Source organism: Homo sapiens, chromosome 6, assembly GCF_000001405.40.
Source record: "Homo sapiens chromosome 6, GRCh38.p14 Primary Assembly".
Lineage (NCBI taxonomy): Eukaryota > Metazoa > Chordata > Mammalia > Primates > Hominidae > Homo > Homo sapiens.
In genome coordinates, this window is record NC_000006.12 from 110,917,149 (window position 1) to 110,924,897 (window position 7,749).

Here is a 7,749-nt window from a genome sequence, read left to right on the forward strand (position 1 = left end):
GCTGTCAGCCCCCTGATCGCACTCCACACTCTATATTTCTGTGTGTGTGTCTTTAATTCCTCTAGCACCACAGGGTTAGGGTCTCCACAACCGAGTCTCAGCAAATGGTGCCCATACGTGGGGCTCGAACCTGGGTCGAAGGGTTGCCAGAGCGACAGTTGGAGAACAAGGAACTAAGCTGGATGACACCTGAGTACTCCTAAGCAATCCCTCTGGTGAGTGAGAAAGGGAGCTCAGAAGCATCAGGGTAACAATGGGACAAGTGTGGGCTCTGATTCATTCCACCTTGGAACCTTTTCACACTAATGATGAGGAGGAAGGAAAGTATAACGAAGTAGCAGAAGAGGTGACAGAGCAGGTTTGTTTGCCAGCTAAAGCTAAAGCAGCAAAAGAGGAAGAGGTTCATCCCTACCCTTCTGCATCCTCTCATTATTTTGAAGAAAAAGAGTGGCCTGACCCTCCAGATCTTTCTTTTCTGGAGGACACTGGGCAAAAAGTAGTTGCCCCAGTGACTGTTCGAGCAGCACCTCGAGTGACCGCTTTCAGTTCTACTCAGGCAGGAATCCAGTAAGCTAGAAGAGAGGGTGATTTAGAGGCTTGGCAGTTCCCTGTTAGAATACATCCCCCAGATCAACAGGGAAATATTATAGCTACATTTGTGCCTTTTCCTTTTAAATTACTCAAAGAATTTAAACAAGCTATCAATCAGTATGAACCAGGTCTATGCCCGAAGTGTAAAAAAGGAAAACATTGGGCTAATCAGTGTCACTCTAAGTTTGATAAAGATGGGAACTCGATTTCAGGAAATGCCATGAGGGGCCTGTCCTGGGCCCCGTTCCAAACCGGGGCATTTCCAGCTCAGGCCATTCCCCCACCTGTGTACAATGCCTGTCCCCCACCACAGCCAGTAGTGCTGCAGTAGATTTTTGCTGCACAAAAGCTGTGAGCCTTCTACGTGGAGAACCCCCACAAAAAGTTCCAACGGGGGTCTGTGGACCCTTGCCAGCAGGGACGATATGATTACTTCTAGGTAGATCTAGTTTAAATTTAAAAGGAGTGCAAGTACATTCAGATTACAATGGGGAAATTCATCAATTCATCATTGATTCAGATAACAAATCAATTCATCATTGATTCAGATTACAATGGGGAAATTCAAATTGTTATATCTACTTCTGTTCCCTGGAAAGCAGAGCCAGGAGAGCTCCTGATTGTGCCATATGTGGAAATGGGGAAAAGTGAAGTTAAACGAACAGAAGGATTTGGAAGCACAAATAAATAAGGCAAAGCAGCTTACTGGGTGAATCAAATTGCTGATAAACATCCTACCTATGAAATAACTATTCAGGGAAAGAAATTTAAAGGTTTGGTAGATACAGGAGTGGACATTTCAATCATTTCTCTACAGCACTGGCCGTCCACGTGGCCAATTCAACCCGCTCAATTTAACATAGTTGGAGTTGGTAAAGGCCCTGATGTATACCAAAGTAGTTATATTTTGCATTGTGAAGGGCCTGATGGACAACTTGGGACTATTCAACCAATTGTAACTTCTGTGCCTATAAATTTATGGGGGAGAGATTTATTACAACAATGGGGAGCACAAGTTTTAATTCCAGAGCAATTATATAGCCCTCAAAGTCAACATATGATGCATGAATGGGGTATGTCCATGGTATGGGACTAGGAAAAAATTTGCAAAGTTTGAAGGAACCACTTCAAGTGGAAAGACAAAATTCCCGCCAAGGTTGAGGATATCATTTTTGATGGCAGCCATTGTTAAGCCTCTAGAACCTACACCTTTTAAATGGTTAACAGATAAGCCAATTGGATAACAGATAAGCCAATTTGGATAGAACAATGACCGCTAAGTAAAGAGAAACTGGAGGCTTTAGAGGACTTAGTTAATGAACAATTAGAAAAAGGATACATAGCTCCAATATTTTCCCCTTGGAATTCTCCAATTTTTGTAATTAATAAAAAATCAGGTAAATGGAGAATGTTAACTGATGTATGAGCCATTAATTCAGTTATACAACCAATGGGACATTGCAGCCAGGACTGCCTTCTCCTGCTATGATTCCAAAAAATTGGCCTTTAATAGTCATAGATTTAAGACTGTTTCTTTACTATCCCCTTAGCTGAGCAAGACTGTGAACGGTTTGCATTTACAATTCCTGCAGTAAACAACCTACAGCCTGCTAAGCGTTTTCATTGGAAAGTGTTGCCACAAGGCATGTTAAATAGTCCAACAATTTGCCAGACTTATGTAGGGCAAGCAATTGAACCTACTCGTAAAAAATTTTCACTGTGTTAAATTATTCACTATATGGATGATATATACTTTGTGCTGCCCCCACTCAGGAAATATTACTCCAATGTTATGATCACTTGCAAAATTCGATTTCTCATGCTGGTTTAATTATAGCTCCTGACAAAATTCAGACTACTACTCCTTACTCCTACTTGGGGACCTTAGTAAATGACACTACCATTGTGCCACAGAAAGTAACCATATGTAGGGATCAATTGAAAACATTAAATGACTTTCAAAAATTACTAGGGGACATTAATTGGATACAATCTGCTCTAGGCATTCCTACCTATGCCATGAGTAATCTATTTTCTATCCTTAGAGGAGATCCTAGTTTCACTAGCCCTCAGCAATTAACAAGAGAAGCTGAGGCAGAGCTGCAGCTAATCAAAAAGCAAGTCGATAAAGCTCAAATAAATGGAATAGATCCAGAGAAGACTCTAGATTTGCTAACTTTTCCAACTCAGCATTCACCTACTTGTGTTATTGTTCAAGAGGAAGATCTTGTAGAGTAGCTTTTTCTTCCACATACTAATTCACGAACTCTAACTCCTTATTTGGATCAAATCACTACTATGATAGGAAATGGGAGAACTCAGATTGTTAAATTACATGGATATGATCCTGGAAAAATTATTGTCCCTCTCACAAGGGCACAAATACAGCAAGCTTTTATAAATAGTCTTACTTGGCAAACCCATTTAGCTGACTTTGTGGGTATTCTCAATCATTTCCCTAAAACAAAATTATTTCAATTTTTGAAATTAACTAATTGGATTCTCCCTAAAATAACTAAATTTAAACCAATTGAAGGTGCTGAAAATGTTTTTACAGATGGGTCTGGTAATGGTAAAGCTTCTTATTCTGGCTCGAAAGGTAAAGTTTTTCAGACGCCCTATACTTCAGTTCAAAAAGCAGAGCTTGTAGCTGTAATTGAGGTATTGACTGCTTTTGATATGCCTACTAATGTGATTTCTGATTCTTCATACGTGGTTCATTCCACACAGTTAATTGAAAATGCTCAGTTACGATTTCATACAGATGAATAACTGATGACTTTATTTACCCAATTGCAAATAGCAGTTAGGAGTAGAATGCACCCTTTTTACATCACTCACATTAGGGCTCATACACCTCTTCCAGGACCTTTGACTGCAGGGAATCAAATGGCTGATCATCTAGTTGCTACTGCAATATCTAATGCTAGACACTTTCACAATTTAACCCAAGTTAATGCCTCTGGTCTCAAATGCAGATACAGCATTGCCTGGAAAGAAGCTAAAGCTCTTATCCAGTGAAGCCCAACTTGCCAAATGGTGCATTCCTCATCTTTTACAGGAGGAGTTAATCCTTGAGTATTGGAACCTAATTCTCTTTGGCAAATGGATGTCACACATGTTCCCTCGTTTGGGAGACTAGCTTATGTACATGTATGTGTGGACACCTTTTCTCACTTTGTCTGGGCTACATGCCAGTCAGGAGAGTCTTCTGCCTGTGTTAAATGTCATCTTTTGCAGTGTTTTGTGGGGATGGGCATTCCAGCTTCTATTAAAACAGATAATGCCCCAGGTTATACTAGCCAAGCTCTAGCTACATTTTTCTCAGTATGGAATATTAAACACATTACTGGCATCCCATATAATTCTCAAGGACAAGCCTTTGTAGGACGAATGAATCTCTCCCTAAAATGACAATTGCAAAAGCAGAAAGGGGGAAATAGGGATTATGGAACACCCCATATGCAACTGAATCTAGCATTATTGACTTTAAATTTTTTGAGCCTGCCTAAAGGCCAGATGCTATCAGCTGCTGAACAACATCTACAGAAACCAGCTGCAAAGACAGAAGCAGAACAACTGGTTTGGTGGAGAGATCTGATAACAAAAAGTTGGGAAATAGGTAAAATAATAACTTGGGGTGCAGGTTATGCTTGTGTTTCTCCAGGACCAAATCAACAGCTGATTTGGATACCATCAAGACACCTGAAACTTTATCATGAGCCAGATGCCAAGGAAAAGATTCCAAGAGGATCCCAAGGACCCCCCGGTTGCAGCCATGTTGAGACTGATGCTGAGGAGGACCCCAACTGTCATGAGCAACACCCATCGAACACAGCCACCCACCTGGGGACAGATCAAGAAGCTGTCACAGATGGCAGAAGAAAACCTGAGGAAAGCAGGACAACCAGTCACAACGAATAATTTAATGATAGCTATGATAGCAGTTATCACCACTGCCATGAGTATTCCTTCAATAAGGGCTGACACAGAGAACAATTATAGTTATTGGCTATATTTATCAATCTTGGCTTGCAATAATGCCTGGATGTAATCACTCTATGACACAGTTACACATGCTTTCTGATCTCAGTATTTACCATAATAAATCTGCTCCTATAATTGAGGTATACAACCCTCAAAAACGTATTTGCAAACAGAATTGAACCTGGCCAGAAATAATGAACTTACTTGTTTGGGAAGATTGCATTGCAGAATGGGCAGAGGTGCTGCGCAATGATTCCTATGGAATCACTATTGATTGGTCCCCTAAGGGGATGTTTAGCTTGAATTGCACCTCTCAGTCTGAGTGCCACAGTTGTACTATGTTCAGCTGGTGTGATCAGCTGGTGTGAACAAAATGGTCAGATGGTAGAAACGGTAGGAAGTATGGCAAGAGTTCCTATTATCTGGAACCATGGCAGTATAGTGGCACCTCAACCTCAAATGATATGGCCTGTTGTAGGAGCTAAACATAAGGATTTGTGGAAACTATTAATGGCTCTTAATAAGATCAAAATTTGGGAAAGAATAAAAAAGCATCTAGAAGGACACTCTACAAACTTGTCTTTGGACATTGCAAAAGCAAAGGAACAAATATTTAAAGCATCCCAGGCACACCTGATCTTAATGTCAGGAACTGGAGTGCTTGAAGGAGTGGCAGACAGATTAGCAGCTAGTAATCCATTAGAATAGATAAAGACACTTTTGGAGGCTCTGTTATTTCAATGACGATTGTGCTTTTAATCTGTGTTGTTTGTCTTTGTATAGTCTGCAGATGCAGATCCCAGCTCCTGCGAGAAGTAGCTCACCAAGACACAGCTGCCTTTGCTTTTATTGCTTTGCAAAACAAAAAAGGGAGACATGTTGGGAACAGGCCCCCAAAACTGGCCATAAACAAAATCTCTGCAGCACTGTGACATGTTCTTGATGGTCATGACGCCCACACTGAAGGTTGTGGGTTTACCAGAATGAGGGAAGGAACACCTAGCCCACCCAGGGCAGAAAACTGCTTAAAGGCATTCTTAAACCACAAACAATAGCATCAGCAATCTGTGCCTTAAGGACATGTTCCTGCTGCAGATAACTAGCCAGAGCCTATCCCTTTGTTTTGGCCCATCCCTTTGTTTCCTGTAAGGAATAATTTTAGTTAATCTATAGTCTATAGAAAGAATGCTTATCATTGGCTTGCCATCAATAAATATGTGGGTCAAACTCCGTTTGGGGCTCTCAGCTCTGAAGGCTGTCAGCTCCCTGATCCCACTCCACACTCTATATTTCTGTGTGTGTGTCTTTAATTCCTCTAATGCCACTGGGTTAGGGTCTCCATGACCAAGCTGGTCTCGGTATGCATATATATAAATTCCAAAAGTAGCTGCCTGCAGTGGTTCACAACTATAATCTCAGCACTTTGGGAGGCTGAGGTCAGAGAATAGCTTGAGCCCAGGAGTTTGAGATCAGTCTGGGCAACATAGGTGGACCTCATCTCTACAAAAAAAATTAAAAATTAGCCAGGTTAGTGGTGGCACATGCTTGTAGTCCCAGCTACTTGGGAGGTGGGGTGGGGAGGATCCATTTAGCCCAGGAGTTCAAGGCTGCAGTGAGGGTAACAGAGCGAGACCCTGTCTGAAAAAATTTTTTAAAATCCTGGCTGGGCGCGGTGACTCACACCTATAATCCCAACACTTTGGGAGGCCAAGGTGGGTGGATCACAAGGTCAGGAGTTCAAGACCAGCCTGACCAAGATGGTGAAACCCCATCTCTACTAAAAATACAAAAATTCCAGTTCTGGTGTCAGTTTGAGGCACCGCTGCCACCGCCGGAGCCATGATACCTAAAGGAGGGAGAAAGGGAGGCCACAAAGGCTGGGCGAGGCAATATACAAGCCCTGAGGAGATCGACACGCAGCTGCAGTCTGAGAAGCAGAAGGCCAGGGAAGAAGAGGAGCAAAAAGAAGGTGGAGACGGGGCTGCAGGTGACCCCAAAAAGGAGAAGAAATCTCTAGACTCAGATGAGAGTGAAGATGAAGATGACTACCAGCAAAGGCGCAAAGGTGTTGAAGGGCTCATTGACATCGAGAATCCCAACCGGGTGGCACAGACAACCAAAAAGGTCACACAACTGGATCTGGATGGGCCAAAGGAGCTTTTGAGGAGAGAACGAGAGGAGATTGAGAAGCAGAAGGCAAAAGAGCGTTACATGAAAATGCACTTGGCTGGGAAGAGATAGCAAACCAAGGCCAACCTGGCCTGGCTGGTCATCATCTGGAAACAGCAGGAGGACACTGCCCAGAAGAAGGAAGAGGAAAGGAAAGCAAAAGACGATGCCACATTGTCAGGAAAACGAATGCAGTCGCTCTCCCTGAATAAGTAACCGCGACCCATGGGAAGAGATGCTGGGGACCTGGGCTGCACTGCCAGGACCTCTGCTGTGTCTCGCCCACCCTGTGCCCTGGTGCTGCTGCAACAGCCCCTCACAGCCAGGAGCCCCCCCATGGCCTGGGGCCTCCTCTTCATCTTGGCACAGAAATTGTTTGAGGGATGTGGGGGTGGGGTGGGGGAGGGGCAGCTGTTATCTTTGACACAGAAAGATGCAGGACAGCATTTCATATGGAACCATTTTAATGTTTTTGCTGTTTTTAGAATTCAGAGCCCCTGCTCGGGGATGCCTGGGAGATCGGGTAAGAAGAGCTTTCATTTGTCTGGTAGATAGCACGTAATGGAGTGGTCGTGCCAGAAGGCAGCTGCTGACGGGTTTGCTACACCCAGCCCTGGACTGTGTTGCCTGGGAGCTCATTCAGAGAGGGGCTGTCATCTGGGAGCCTGCGCCCCTGGGTCCTTGAGGGTCATGGCTTGCCTCAGTCAGTCCTGTCTGACCAAGGCCTCACCTCTCTGCCCTTCCCCACCTGGTTCCTACCCACCTAGCCAGGGCCAGTGCCCATTTTTCACCCGACCCATTGATCATTTCAAGAAACCTCTGTTCTCCAGCCTGGACAACAGAGCAAGACTCTGTGTCAAAAAAAAAAAGAAAAGAAAAGAAAAGAAAAAAGAAACCTCTGTTTACTGTGTGGCACCTGGGAAAAACATGCTCCACAAATTCAACTTGTATATTTGGCAGATTAAACTTGACATTATCAAAAAAAAAAAAATTAGCCCAGCA

The 7,749-nt window shown here is 43.3% G+C and overlaps 1 pseudogene; it reads left to right on the top strand.

Annotated features, from left to right (window-relative positions):
* PDAP1P3 (PDAP1 pseudogene 3) lies at positions 6,381-7,160 on the top strand (annotated as a pseudogene).
* Positions 7,161-7,749: the final 589 nt, after the last annotated feature.